This window comes from Homo sapiens, chromosome 8 (genome assembly GCF_000001405.40).
Source record: "Homo sapiens chromosome 8, GRCh38.p14 Primary Assembly".
Lineage (NCBI taxonomy): Eukaryota > Metazoa > Chordata > Mammalia > Primates > Hominidae > Homo > Homo sapiens.
The window spans coordinates 113,256,319-113,273,028 of NC_000008.11; the positions used below are offsets into that span (position 1 = coordinate 113,256,319).

The 16,710-nt window shown below is 34.7% G+C and overlaps 1 protein-coding gene across 9 annotated transcripts in view; it reads right to left on the bottom strand.

Moving 5' to 3' along the window:
* Positions 1-16,710, bottom strand: part of CSMD3 (CUB and Sushi multiple domains 3) — a 1,214,012-nt gene that overhangs the window by 1,033,391 nt on the left and 163,911 nt on the right. The gene's annotated exons all lie outside the window — the stretch shown is intronic.

The window sequence follows — 16,710 nt, forward strand, 5'->3', positions numbered from 1 at the left end:
TTCATATTAAAAGATTTGGACTTGTAATAATTTAAGTACAAAGAAATACATGCTCAGCACCGACACCATTCCTTATTCCCCAGATTAAGACCTAATGGCCACTGCCAAATTAACTAAAGGAATCATTACAATTGAAGCTGGCATAGTAGACTCAGTCATTTTACAATGTGCTCACTAGGAAAAGTTATAACTGAGTTTCTTCAGAAGTAAACAATTGGAAATATTGCATAACTTTACAATTGTCAAGAATGTATTTCCTAACAACAAAAAGTGAAGCTGATGAGTGGAGTGCAGAAACCTCATTTAGAGCAGATTTCTATTTCTAACTGTAAAAAATAACTGGCATCAAATTAATCCATCCTACTTAAGGAGGAGTAGGATAGTTTGGCTGCAACAATTACAACTTTTACTGAAGCCACCAAAATATGTCTTAGTGATGATACTTTGGAATAACATGATGACCAAACAGACATTGCAAGTTTTAAGCAAAATATACAAGATTTTGCATTAAGTGGTTTGTAGTGTGTAGGATGGAAAGATTGGTATCATATTAGATTACGTAGAAATGCAGGCTCCTGAGCCCCACTCCAGATGTGTAAAATAAGAATCAGCAGTTTAGCCAGATTACCAGATAGTTCTTATAAACACTGAAGTCTGGAAAGCCCTGATTTACATGAATGTTAATAGAGGAAGGAGTGCAGGGTGTACAGAATGAGACCTTAGTTTCAATCAGCCTCTATCTACTACCATGGGCTGGTTAAGTGTTTAACAACTGGCTCTCTGGAAAAGAATAAATAAAAACAAAACGGGCCGGGCGCAGTGGCTCATGCCTGTAATCCCAGCACTTTGGGAGGCCGAGGCGGGCGGATCACGTGGTCAGGAGATCAAGACCTTCCTGGCTAACATGGTGAAACCACCTCCCTACTAAAAAAATTCAAAAAAATTAGCCAGGCATGGTGGCAGGTGCCTGTAGTCCCAGCTACATGGAAGGCTGAGGCAGGAGAATGGCGTGAACCCAGGAGGCGGAGTTTGCAGTGAGCCAAGATGGCACCACTGCACTCCAGCCTGGGCAACAGGGCAAGACTCTGTCTCAAAAACAAATAAATAAATAAAAATGACAAAACTGCCGGAGCTTCTGCATACCTGAACACATGAAGTTTCCTCAAGAGTGGCAAACCCAGAGATGCTCTGGAAGCTCTGTACCCTTTCCCTCATCCCTTGTCTAATCTATCTATTCATCTGGTGTTCATTAGTATCCTTTGTAATATCCTTTATAGGAAAGGAGAAAGGAGTAAAATACTTTCTCAAAGGAGAAATTTGAAATATTTGCAAAACATTGATGTATGTACAATGTCTAACTCTTTTCATACTCAACATCAGGAAATTAGATAATAACTTTCTGCAATGAGTCAGCTAAATATCCAGCCATTCTACTGTGGCAAATTAAAGCATCTCACACTGTATCAAGTGTAGAAACATAAATTGCTCACATCAACTTCAACAAATACACTGTTTAGTGAAACATGAGTCTTTATAAACATACTGGAATTTGAAAAAAATAACACACTAAGAAAAAAATTTTTTTTAATTTGCTGATTTATGTAAAGTAACACTGCCAACATACTTGATTTCAAGGTACTAAGATGAAAACTCTGAATGCAGCTGGAAAAAAAGGTCAACTGCACAATTTGTTCTTTTGACCACATCTGAGTTGGCTGTAGTACACTATTATCTGTAAGTCACTATCTGAAGAATTGTTTATGACAAAATAAAAAATGATATGAATTCCTCATGAAAGCTGTTAGAATAATAGTTGCTTTTATTTGTTTCTCTACCAAAATAACTATTAAAGATTTTCTGACACAAAACATAATGGCCAAAACAGGATTGGTGCTTATTGTATGTTTTGGAATACATTAATAGATAGACAGGACTGTATTCCATGCCATTTTTACTAGTAGAACGAGAGTATTTTCATCTTTATAAAAAGATAGTACACGAGAATATTTGCTGCTTGTTATTCTGACACTGTGGCAGAGACTGCCAGTTGTCTCCTATTGGTCTCTATCCCTTTCAATCATAGCAATATATTGTTTAGCGGGACATATTAACACTCAAAGACTACATTCTCCAGCAACCAATGTAACCAAGTTTCATGTGGCTATAATCTGGCCAATTGGATATAAGTAGAAGTGTCATAACACAGCTTCTAGGAATCTTCCTTAGGAAAATATTTGTCCCATCTTTCTTCCCTTCATCTTCTCTGCTGCTTGGTACACATATATTATTGCTATATTATGTTTTGGACTGGGAAGAAAAAGTTTCCCATCCTGGAGATGGAAGAGTAAATATTTAAATAAGCATATGTCTCAAAGGCTTAACGGAGCAGAGGAATATAACGGTTTTGAGTAGGGAAGCGTTAAGAGATGACTATTAGAGAAAATTCAGCAGTAAAAAGGCAAGAGAGAAAGCTAGGGAACTTGTTAGGAGTCTAGTGTAGTAGTCTAGTTTGGTCCAGGGATGAGACGATAGTAGCTAGGAGTAGAGTGTTAGTGGTAAAGACCATAAGAAGTGGTAAGATTACAAATATATGTTGATTTAATATTTTCTGATGAATTGGATATAAGCTGTTAGAATGAAAGAAAATCCCAATGTTTTTGGATGTGAACAATTAAACACATGATGCTGCCATTTATTGAAAAAGACATGGAGATGAGACAATTTGGAATTCAGGAAAGATATCTAATTGAAAAACAAGGTAGGTAGTTACAGCAAGTTGATTGCAAAAAAATGCCACCATTTCTTCATTCCATCCTGTCCTTATATGTGCCTTTGGCCATATAGCCTTGTCATGCCCTTGTGGTCTCATCCTTCTCTTGTCTGTGACTTGCTTGAGCCAATGAGAAGTTAGTAGACTGAATCAATCAGAACTTGATAAAGGGTACGTTTTCATTTTCCCATGTTTGCACTTCTGCTATAGGCATGAGAACATGCTTAAAATAATTGTACTAGTAGATGAGATATTGTCCTATAAGAGGCCAAGTGGATTAGCCTCAGGCAGAAACATGAGTGAGTCCATACAAGATCACCAGAATAACAGCCAATCCCTTCAGAAGCTTGAACAATAAGAATTTATTTTGAATGACTCTGAGGTTTTCTATGTTCATGGAGATAGCTAAATGAAATATATCCTCAGAGTTTCTATAATTATTTTAGAGACTGGTGTAGATTGCCCCATGTAGAACATGAGTGTAGGTAGAGATGACAGCCCCAAAACTGAGCACTATGCCATTCTAATATCTAGAAATAAAAAGCAGGAGGACTTACACAAGGAATTTAAAGAATAAAGATATATAAGGAGAAAATTAAAAAATGGGGCATCCTGGGAGGGAAAGCTATGAAAATGCTTTAAGGAGTGTTAAAAATGGAGAATATTTTAAAGTCTGAAAAGAGGAAGAATAATGTGAGAATTACTAAGTGGCAGTAATTATACTCAAGGGTTGTATAAGAGCAGTGATATGGTTTGGCTGTGTCCCCACCCAAATCTTATCTTCAATTGTAGTTCCCATAATCCCCATGTGTGGTGGTAGGGGCCCAGTGGGAGGTGATTGAATCATGGGGGTGGTTTCTCCCATGCTAATCTCATGATAGTAAGTTCTCACCAGATCTAATGTTTTTATCAGGGATTTCCTCCTTTACTCAGCCCTCATTCTTTCTTCTGCTGCATTGTGAAGAAGGATATGTTTCCTTCCCCTTCCACCATAATTGTAAGTTTCCAGAGCCCTCCCTAGCCCTGTGGAACTGTGAGTCAACTAAACCTCTTTCCTTTATAAGTTACCCAGTCTCAGGTATGTCCTTGTAACAGTATGAGAATGGACCAATACAGGCAGGATTGAATGAAGAAATGGTGGCCTGTTTTGCAGTCAACTTACTATAACTACCTACCTTGTTTTCTAATCCTATGCCATTCCTGAATCCAAGTTGTCTCATCACCATGTCTTTCTCAATAAATGGCAACACGTTTTGTTCAGTTATTCATGTTCAAACCTTCATAAATATAACAAATTCCAGTTCTTGGAGTTCCTCTCCTGTAAAAAGTCACTATGTGTGGGGGTATCATCAGCTCTCTACTGATTGCTTTGTGGAAATTGAGGCTCTGGGAACCCAAACAAGTTTGAAACTCTGGCTATTTCTATGGCTGTATATTAAAAAGTCCTTTGTCCTTGTCTCAGTTTTGTGCATTCTGTGACATGTTAACTTGTTAACTCTCAAGAATGATAAAATCTCCGAATCCTTTTTTTTCTTTTACTTTAAGTTCTGGGATACATGTGCAGAATGTGCAGGTTTGTTACATAGGTATCCATGTGCCATGGTAGTTTGCTGCCCCTATCAATTCGCCATCTAGATTTTAAGCCCCACTCCATAGGCCCCAGTGTGTGATGTTCCCTTCCCTGTGTCCATGTGTTCTCATTTTCAACTCCCATTTGTGAGTGAGAACATGTGGTGTTTGGTTTTCTGTTCCTGTGTTAGTTTGCTGAGAGTGATGGCTTCCAGCTTCATCCATGTCCCTGCAAAGGACCTGAACTCATTCTTTTTTATGGTTGCATAGTATTCCATGGTGTATATGTGCCACATTTTCTTTATCCAGTCTATTACTGATGGGCATTTGGGTTGGTTCCAAGTCTTTGCTATTGTAAATAGTACTTCAAGAAACATACATGTGCATGTGTCTTTACAGTGGAATGGAAATCTCTGAATCTTTACAGTTCTTGACAATAAGTGAAGTACATACAGATGGGCCGAGTTCTTGATAAAAGTATGAAGTATATACAGATTGGTCCATAGTGTCTATTTATTTGTCAATATGGAATGAAACATGGTATTTAATTAAACTTACCAAAATAATAATCTGTTATAGTTTATAACTGTTACTTTTGGTTCCAGGTATCATCTCTTATGGCCATAATGTCTGCACAAAATGTTTGTTTGCTTCAGGGACTTCATAATTATCAATAAAGTTCTTATGAATTTTTGTTTACACAATTACTTAAGGGACTCTAATTAGCATGTATTTTTCAATTAACTTCTGTGTAAGCCTTGTCATTCTTCCATTGTGACCTCTTTTTAAATGAATTGGTCTGTCTCTAGCATTGACCTTTATCTCAGAGCTGCAACTCTTCAGTGAACTACCTCCCTTAGCCTCTGTGAGGGTTTTAATTTTGCAACTGGAAGAGCTTTGCGTGTGTGGGTGCATGTGTGATAAGTGTCACTTCTTCCCTTGGTTCAAGCTGAAAATTATTTACCTCATTGGCAACATTGTGATTTCTGGGAAGCCCCAGTTAAGGGTGCCATTTCTTAAATTCTTCAGTGCAAACACATTTGCTTATTTCAACAACCCTCTAAAAAATACAAAATAAATATTAGAATATTGTTCCTTTTGACCAAATGGAGATTGAAAGACACCTCCAAACATTATAGTATACATGGGCATATTCATTATATTTAAACTATATGGTAGAACAGAAAAGATACTAGCTAACATATATGAAATGCTGCTTACATGCCAAGTATTGCTCTGTGGATGTTGTATCATTTGCTCCCCTTCCTTATCTTCAAAATAACCTTGTAGAATCATTATTATATTTTCCACTTCACATTTTGAAGAATTTACAGTATCTGAGTGATAAAGCCAGCATTAAAGGTCATGTCTTTTGACACCCTGTTAGCATATTTGTGATTCTTCTATTACCATATATGTCTTACAAAGAAGAAATATATATTTAGAAGATGCATTTATATTAAAATGTGGCCATCTTGACAAATGAAGCCATTTGAAGCATAATATATGATTATGATTGAAATGTTTGTAACCTATAAGAGGAAGTACAAAGATACACTATTTTTGCCCCCAAAATTTATTTACTAAAATAAGTTTGAGGAAAAATATGAAGAATACATTGACTATATATTTTTAGGTAAAGCAAAGTACATTATGTTGATTAATTATAAAATGCATCTTTTAATCTTCTATTCTTTGTCTTTGTACATACTTGTTTTGAATTATCATCTAAATAAGTCACTCAACATAATATAGTAGGCATAATTCCACTATTGGCTCCAAGATTTCCACTCCTTCCCCATGAGTGCAGGTGGAATTATGCAGCTAATATAATAGTTGTTCCTTTGATTAGGTAAAGCTATATTACAAAAGGTGATTGAAGAGTCACTCTTATGACTACATTATGCTGTATAAAACTCTTTTTAGCCAACTAAAGAGGGAGATAAATATAGAGATATATTCCTGCTCTGCTGAAAGAAAGCCATGTTGTGAACGGTCTTTGAGAAAGTCATGGATAGGAACCAAAGGGAGCCTCTAAAACGTAAGAAAATTTTCCAGTCAATAGCTAGCAAGAAAATAGAGTCATCAATAATACAATTGCAAGAAAATAAACTCTATCAGCAATCAGTATGGTTGAAAGAGGACCCTGAGTCTTAGACATGAATCACAGAGCTGCCAACGCCTGGACTGAAGCCTTTTAAGACCTGAGCTAAGAACCTAGCTGACTGCAGCTCAGACTTCTAACCTACAAAACTACAAGACTGTAAACTTCTGTTGTATTAATCCTCTAAATTGTGGTCGTTTGTTATGCAGCAATATAAAACCAATATACATGAGAATGATCATTTTTTAAAGATTTATTTTAATATCCCTAGGCAAATTAAATGCTATGGTCTGTCCACAGGGAAAGGCACAATATAATACTGCATAAAGGATAGTGAGTGAAGACTTGTGCTTGTCAGTTACGACCAAAAGAGCACACTGCCAGAGATCTCTTTGTAACACGTGAAATAAAGTCTTCAACTGAAAGCACAGTGAAAGAACCAAAAATATTGATAAGTGCCTTCAAAGATGACAGGCAGTCAAAGAAATTATTATAACTGCAAATGAATATAAAGAAAACAATTTAGAAGATCAATTATTTTTACTACATACTTGGAAATACCATCATTACTGTAATCATTAAATAAAAAGAACAATAACTAATCAATATTTAGTTTTCTGAATAATTCTAAAGTCCCACAACCAGTGCTTTGAGGTCAATTCACATTTCCTGACAAAAGAAAACATCATATCCTTCAAAATGTATTATTAATCACTATTGCTCAGCTTCTTGCATTCCTTTAAATTTTACATCATTGATTTCCCATTTACTTTAGCCTGTTATTATGACTTTGCAAGAACTAAAATTATACTCCCCCTCAACCTATGACCAAATGAAAACGACTTTTGGGCGCTTCTTTTTTCTGGTGTTCTATTAATTAAGATTTTGATAGCAATTTCTCACACTTGGTAGCATTAAAATTCACTTGAACATATATGATTAAAAGAACATATAAAATCTGAAGAATATTCTAGATAAAATCAACATATGATACTGTGTAAGAAATTTCTTTTTTGGTATATTGAAAACATTTTACAAACTATCTTGTCCTTTGTGATACCAGGTTAATAATTATCAGTGTTAAAGCTGATAGTTATTATTTCAAGTACTGAGAAAATGAAATTTGAGGCTATTATTTTATTCATGCTGAAAATTTTATCTAGCATAGTATAATGTATAGCCACCATATTAAAATAATTGAGACTTATTATTGCTATTGCAGTATTTGATTTGTACATTTTACTTTATTTTTTCTGATACTTAAAATGATATAGTAAAAAGAATAATTATCTTAATAAGGAAGAATTCATTTCAAGTTTATTTTTTATGATGTACCACAATATTTAGCATCAAATAATAGTATGAAATTATTTTTTATCAGTTTACTAAGTTTTGGGAAGGGGAAATTAAATTCTCATATTAATTTCTAAAGCAAGCTCATAGTGTAACTTTATACCACTATTTTTGCACTATCAATTATAACAACTATTACTCTGTATGGCCTTTGAGTGAAAAATAGCAAAATACCTTTTACATATAATTAGAATCTGAAATAATCACTCTATCAAACTTCATTCTTACATACTTATCAAAATGATAAATTATAGCAGTTGATAAGTATAACACATTCAACTATATTTATATATATATATATATGAAGGAAATTCATTGTGAAACAGGATTACATAATAAGTTTGATCACTTTATTTCTGGAGAATGAAATAAAGCCTTTTATGCCATCCCATCTTTTTCACATGAAGCACAAAGCTTATGTAGGTCATATATCACTAACTTAAGCAATTTTTCATTCTCAGCTTGTTTTTCTTTTTGTGCTACATAAGCAATTCTGTATTTTTGAAATGCTTCAAAAAGTAACCATTTAACCTAAGAAAATAAATATTTTTAAACAAAGAAATATTCATTAAAATCATAAATAATTTCGTCTATTTTTAATTATTTAAAAAATAAAAGGCTATTTTCCCTAAACCTTAATTATTTAATGTAAATATGTATGAATATCACAAATTCTAAGTGATTAAATATAGCTCATGTCTGCCTTTTAACACAAACACATTCATTGGAGTTTTAATTCCTTAACGTAGGAGATGTATTAAACCATTCCTCATTACTAATCAATTTTTTTGTTAGATGGTCTGTATATCAGCTGAGTTTAACAAGCATTTATTAAGTGCTTGGAACATGTGAGGAATATGTTGAAACCAGAGGCAGGTACACAAAATGAGTAAAACATGTTCTATACTTGTAAGCTTCTCACAGCCTACTGTGAGTGAAAAATCCAAAATGATTTTTTATACATGTTGCTAAACGTGTCATATCTGTCAAGTGCTATAATTTATCATTTTAATATGCATGCTAGAATTGTTTAATTGAGACAAGGTATGGACACATCTGAGCATAGAGAGAAAGAGCATTCAAAAATCTATGATTTTTTGAAGGTAACCAAGGCCTGCATAATGTCTGGAAAGATAAGTATGTGAGCCAATAAGTGAAGTGTGTGCAGGGTGTTCTGAGCAGAAACAAAAAAAAATAGCCTGGGTTAAGACTGGGTAATTCAAATAATACAGTATATGTATTAACAAAAGTTTGATATGCATTAATAGTGTTAATTCAATTGTTTTATAAATTGAAGTAAACCCTGGCTAGAAATGAAGCTGGAGGGATAGGTAGTTTGTACAGGTTGTGTATGCTACACTAAGCTAAAATGGGGGTGATAAAATATTACTGCTTAATGTCTAAAAGCATCTATAGTATTGCTAATCTGTTGAAACTTTCCTGTTAATACAGTAAAAGTGATTTATACCTTCCTGGATAAAATATGTAAAATGACTAGAAAATTAATAAATTATTGTTTATATCTAGCCGAATCTGAATATTCATTGTAAGTTTCTTTATTTTGAAGATTATATTTAAATAATAAACTGATTTGTGTTATTCTCTAGATTAGGATTTTGAACATTTACAACTGCTTAGAAGGTAGAGAGATACTCATGATTTAGCTAAAAAGTCACTTGTGGATTAGGGTGTTTCCATGACTAACTAGGTTGACTTTATGGGCCTCTAAAGACAAAAGATTCGAATTTGACCAAAAGACAAAGGTCAAGGTCTTTGCAGGTATGACATTTCCTCGTATTCTGTTTTTTGAAATATAGTAACTCTCATTTATTCTTAGAAGTATTTAAGAATGAAAATCCATTAACTTTTTATGAACCTAACCTAAATTTATTCCTAGCAAACTGTTTAATAAATGGAATTTTATAACATAATCTTATCTTACTAAAATCCAACTGTTTTGCCAGAAGCATAATTGACTTGATTCTAAATTGTAAGCTCTCTATTAAATTTCATGATACTGCCACTTAGATTTTTAAAGCTTAGTAGTTGAAAATAACCCCTAAACTTAAAAAAAAAAAAAAAAACTAAAGTAATTTAATGCTCTCAAGGATAAATTTCTAATAAACATGTTTGACAGAGAACTAAATAGAATGGCAAATAGTAAAACTATCCTTTTATATGTCATTATTTTAAAAAGACAAAGATTATATAAGTCATGCATAATATTTGCAAGGGTGTATTTTGCATTTTATGTTACCTATTGTTTTAATATACATTCTTGTTTAAGCAATGTTTTTTGTTCTAAATTATATTTTCTCATATCCATTTAAATCTAAGTGGAATCACAGCTAACAGTTCTAAATTAAATTTCTAAAATGTATACAGTTCTCAAATGTAAGACATTTAAATACATTTTTTATAGTAAGTGCTTCGTTAAATTATTGGTCTTTACTATTTCTCATGTAATTTTGTAGGGTGAGATAATCCATGTAAAATAGCTGTGAATGGCACATATAAATAACTTAATAAATGTTTCTTAGTAGTAGTAGTGTTATTAGCCACATTTTTATATTTCTGAATTAAAATGTGAGAATGATTTATTAGCAAATTTGCTAAATGTGAGCATTTTTTCTATAATGTTTTAATTAGTAATACACATCGACAATCATAGAATAGTAAGTACCTTGTGTTTGAAGTGGTTTTCAATGTATATTCTTTATTTGCAAATACTTCATCCAACAGTGAACTAATATGTCCAGAATACAAAACGAACTCAAACAACACAACAGGAGAAACATGAATAATTTCATGAAAACATGGGCAAAGGACACAAATAGACATTTCTCAAAAGAAGACATACAAACTGCTAACAGGTATATGAAAAAAATTTCAACATCACTAATAATCAGAGAAATACAAATGAAAATTCCAATGAGATATCACTTGTCCCAATCAGAATTATTATTGTTAAAAAGGCAAATAGTATCAGATGTGCAATGATGTGGAGAAATGGGAACTCTTATACGCTGTTGGTAGGAATGGGTACTAGTACAGCCACTATAGAAAACAGTATGGAGCTTTCTTAAAAAACTAAAAATAGAATTACCATTCCACAGAAATTCCAGTACAGAAATTTCTTTTTACAGAAAGAAAAAGAAATCAATATATCAAAGGAATTCCTGCACTAACATGGTTACTGCAGCACTATTCACAATAGCAAATATATGGAATTAACCAAAGTGTCCATCAACAGATGAACAGATAAAGAAAATACACACAATGGAATACTATTTGACCATAAAAAAGAGTTAAGTCATGCCATTTGCAGCAACATCGATGGAAGTGGAGGTCAGTATCTTAAGTGAAATAAACCAAGCACAAATAGACAAATATTGCATCTTTTTACTTATATGTGGGATCTAAGATATTTGATCAAATGAGGTAGATGGTGGGAAGATAGAAAACAGAAACTTGGAAGGGTGAATGGGGAAGAAGGGGAGGGTGAAGAGAAGTGGGTTAAAGGGTACAAACTTAAGTTAGATAGAAGGAATAAATTCAATGTTTGATAACCGAGTAGGATGAATATAGTTAACAAAGTTGTATTGTACCCAGATGATGGCCACCCTAAATATCTGACTCAATCACTACATATTTTATACAAGTTGCAAGATTTCACACGTATCTCATGAATTTGCACAAATAAAAAATAAAGAAAATGCAAAACTATACAAAAAGACTATAATTTTATTGATTATATAACTGTTCCTGATAATTATATTGTCTAACTGATACATGCCGAAATTATTTAGCTCATCCCAGATCTTAAGATAATCATTATAAATGATATATTAAATAATACATACATATAATTACATATACATATACATTCCTCTAAATGCTTGAACTATATTACCATATTTCCATAATAAATGATTCCTAAGATGGTAAGATATTCCATGGTAGGTTCTCATATACTCTTTCACCTATAAAAAGTGACTATGCATCTGTCAAAGAAAAGTTTAAAAGGATTCTATATTACAAAATAACTTTTATCAGAAACTAGAATGCATTTAGAATATTGTTTGGCAGGTCTAGAAAGACTTAAGAGCACTCCCCACCCTTTGTTCCACAGAACACATATCTCATCAATTGCACCTTGATCAAATTTTGACAAATGGTTATACGACTATTAAACTTAGTATAAGTTAATATTTTTTCAATTTTATTGTTTCTCAGAAGAACTTTTTACTCATTTGGCTCTTTATAACATTAAAACATATAAAACCTAAGTTCTGTGAAACAAACTTTGGGAAATTCAAGTGTATGGTAGAAATTCAGAAATTCAAGTGTATGGCAGACATAATAAGGAAAACTAGAGATATATGCAACTAGATATTCATTAGAAAATTTTTCTGCAGAAATTTAATAGTTCACAGATTCGACTGCAAGAAGTTTCAGAGTAAAGGGTCTCCAATACATAATTAAAGGCCCTTAAACTCTAGCAATATTTAAGAAACAGGAATATCAACTTCCACAGTTTTAAAGTAAATGGGCTAAAGAAGGCTAAAATACACTTTGAAAATGGAGAAATTCATCTCTGAAGATCCCAGACTGACTTACTTTAATTAATTGTTTATTCCACATTTGAGATATTAAGTAGAACTTCATGATAGTTCTATGCCACTAATGGAAAAAATGTGGCATATGCATAGCTTTTATAGTCAAGAGGTCACCCATTCCTTTGGATATAATTTGATCCAATAAAAAATTCAGATATATTTTATACGTGATATTATATAGGGAATCAACAGAACCCTGAATGAAAGAATAAAATAATTAGTTTTTAGGAGTTAGGGCAAAAGCTATCATGAATTTTAGTCCTTTTACTACAATTAATGCTGGAATCCAAGATAATTGCAAAATATAAATGTCAAAATGGTTTGTAAAATAAATGTGTTTAATACATATATCAAAAAGATTTTATTTAATTCTTTTGAGTAGCTTTTTAAAATTAACAATTTAATAAAATTTTTAGCACCTGTTATGATTTGCCTCTGTGTTCCCACCCAAATCACGGGTAAACTCCTATTCACATTTGCTTCAAAGAGAATAAAATACCTAGGAATCTAACTTACAAGGGACGAGAAGGACCTCTTCAAGAACAACTACAAACCACTGCTCAATGAAATAAAAGAGGATACAAACAAATTGAAGAATATTCCATGCTCATGGATAGGAAGAATCAATAGTGTGACAATGGCCATACTGCCCAAGGTAATTTATAGATTCAGCGCCATCCCCATCAAGCTACCAATGACTTTCTTCACAGAATTGGAAAAAACGACATTACAGTTCATATGGAACCAAAAAAGAGCCCTCATCACCAAGTCGATCCTAAGCCAAAAGATCAAAGCTGGAGGCATCACACTACCTGACTTCAAACTATACTACAAGGCTACAGTAACCAAAACAGCATGGTACTGGTACCAAAACAGAAATATAGACCAATGGAACAGAACAGAGCCCTCAGAAATAATACCACACATCTACAACCATCTGATCTTTGACAAACCTGACAAAAAAAAGAAGAAATGGGGAAAGGATTCCCTATTTAACAAATGGTGCTGGGAAAACTGGCTAGCCATATGTAGAAAGCTGAAACTGGATCCCTTCCTTACACCTTATACAAAAATTAATTCAATATGGATTAAAGACTTAAATGTTAGACCTAAAACCATAAAAACCCTAGAAGAAAACCTAGGCAATACCATTCAGGACATAGGCATGGGCAAGGACTTCATGTCTAAAACACCAAAAGCAATGGCAACAAAAGACAAAATTGACAAATGGGATCTAATTAAACTAAAGAGCTTCTGCACAGCAAAAGAAACTACCATCAGAGTGAACAGGCAACCTACAGAATGGGAGAAAATTTTTGCAATCTACTCATCTGACAAAGGGCTAATATCCAGAATCTACAATGAACTCAAACAAATTTACAAGAAAAAAACAACCCCATCAATAAGTGGGTGAGGGATATGAACAGACACTTCTCAAAAGAAGATATTTATGTAGCCAACAGACACATGAAAAAATGCTCATCATCACTGGCCATCAGAGAAATGCAAATCAAAACCACAATGAGATACCATCTCACACCAGTTAGAATGGCGATCATTAAAAAGTCGATCATTAAAAAGTCGGGAAACAACAGGTGCTGGAGATGATGTGAAGAAAGAGGAACACTTTTACACTGTTGGTGGGACTGTAAACTAGTTCAACCATTGTGTAAGATAGTGTGGTGATTCCTCATGGATCTAGAACTAGAAATACCATTTGACCCAGCCATCGCATTACTGGGTATATACCCAAAGGATTGTAAGTCATGCCGCTATAAAGACACATGCACACGTATGTTTATTGTGGCACTATTCACAATAGCAAAGACTTGGAACCAATCCAAATGTCCAACAATGATAGACTGGATTAAGAAAATGTGGCACATATACACCATGGAATACTATGCAGCCATAAAAAAGGATGAGTTCATGTCCTTTGTAGGGACATGGATGAAGCTGGAAACCATCACTCTCAGCAAACTATCGCAAGGACAAAATACCAAACACCGCATGTTCTCACTAATAGGTGGGAATTGAACAATGACAACACTTGGACACAGGAAGGGGGACATCACGCACCGGGGCCTGTTGTGGGGTGGGAGGAGGGGGGAGGGATAGCATTAAGAGATATACCTAATGTAAATGACAAGTTAATGGATTGCAGCACACCAACATGGCACATGTATACATATGTAACAAACTTGCACGTTGTGCACATGTACCCTAGAACTTAAAGTATAATCAAAAAGCATAAAAAAAAAAAACTGGTGGCATTGTGCACCTGCCCTAGAGATGTGTGGAACTTTGCACTTCAGAGGGATATTTTAGGGTATCTGGTAGAAGAAATTTCTAAGCAGCAAATCATCCAAGAGGTGGCTTGGGTGCTGTTAAAAGTATTCTGTTTTAAAACGGAAACAGAGCAAAAAAGTTCAGAAAATTTGCAGCCTGATGACGCAGTAGAAAACAAAAACCCATTTTTTGGGGAGAAATTCAAGCTGGCTGCAGAAATTTGCTAAGTAACAAGGCACTTAATGTTAATCCCCAAGACAATGGGGAAAATATCTCCAGGGCACGTCACAGGTCTTTATGGCAGCCCGTCCCATTACAGACCTGGAAGCCTAGGAGAAAAAAACGGTTTCTTTGACTGGGCCCAGGGTCCTCATGCTGTATGCAGCCTAGGGACTTGGTGCTCTGCGTCCCAGCTGCTCCACCTGTTGCTAAAAGGGGCCAAGGTACAGCTCGGGCCATGGTTTCAGAGGGTGCAAGCCCCAAACCTTGGCAGCTTACACGTGATGTTGAGCCTGCGGGTGAACAGAAGCCAAGAATTAAGATTTGGGGACCTCCATCTATATTTCAGAAGATGTATGGAAATGCCTGGATGCCTAGGCAAAAGTTTGCTGCAGGGGTGGGGCCCTCATGGATAACTTACGCTAGGGCAGTGTGGAAGGGAAATGTGGGATTGGAGCCCTCACACAGAGTCCCTACTGGGGCACCACTTAGTGAGCTGTGAGAAGAGGGCCACCATCATCCAGACCACAGAATGGTAGATCCACCTATAACTTGTACCATGTGCCTGGAAAAGCTGCAGACCCTCAATGCCAGCCAGTGAAAGCAACCAGAAGTGGTGCTATACCCTGCAAAGCCACAGGGTCAGAGCTGCCCAAAACTATGGCAACCTGCCTCTTTCATCAGCTTGACCTGGATGTGAGACATGGAGTCAAACGAGATCATTTTCGAACTTTCAAATTTGACTGCCCCACAGGATTTCAGACTTGCATGGGCCTTGTAACCCCTTTGTTATGGACAATTTCTCCCATTTGGAATGGCTGTATTTTTTCAATACCTGTACCCCCATTGTATCTAGGAAATAACTAGCTTGCTTTTGATTTTATGGGCTCATAGGTGCAAGCGACTTACCTTGTTTCAGATGTGACTTTGGACTGTGGACTTCTGGGTTAATGCTGAAATGAGTTAAGACTTTGGGGGATGCTTGGGAAGGCAGGATTGATTTTGAAATATGAGGATGTGAGATTCGGAGGGGCAAAGGGCAGAATGATATGGTTTGTCTCTGTGTCTTCACCCAAATCTCACCTTGAATTGTACTCCCATAATTCCCATGTATTGTGGGAGGGACCCAGTGGGGGATAATTTAAATCATGGGAGCAGTTTCCCCCATACTGTTCTTGTGGTAGTGAATAAGTCTTATGAGATTTAATGGTTTTATCAGGGGTTTCTGCTTTTGCAATTTCATTTTTCTCTTGCCAGCACCATGTAAGAAGTGTGTTTGGGGTTTCTGCTTTTGCAATTTCATTTTTCTCTTGCCAGCACCATGTAAGAAATGTGTTTTGCCTTCTGCCATGATTCTGAGGCCTCCCCAGCCATGTGGAACAACTGTAAGTCCAATTAAACCTCCTTTTTTCCCCAGTATTGGGTATGTCTTTATCAGCAGCATTAAAATGGACTAATACAGAACCTATTCAATTACATCTAAAATATTTTATTGAAATAATATCTAATACGGAACATATTTCCACAAATCTGGAACTATTTTCATTCTACTTATATATTGTAAAACATATTGAAGTAGAGAGTAGAATGATTGTTACCAGAGGCTGGGAAGGGTAGTGGGGAAGGAGGAATAAACAGGGGTTGGTTCATGGGTAAAAATGTAGTTAGACAGAAGGAATAAGATTTAATGTTCAATAGCATAATAGGGATAATATAGTTAACAATAATTTATTGTATATAAATTCTAAAATAACTAGTGAAGTGAATTTGCAATGTTTCCAACACAA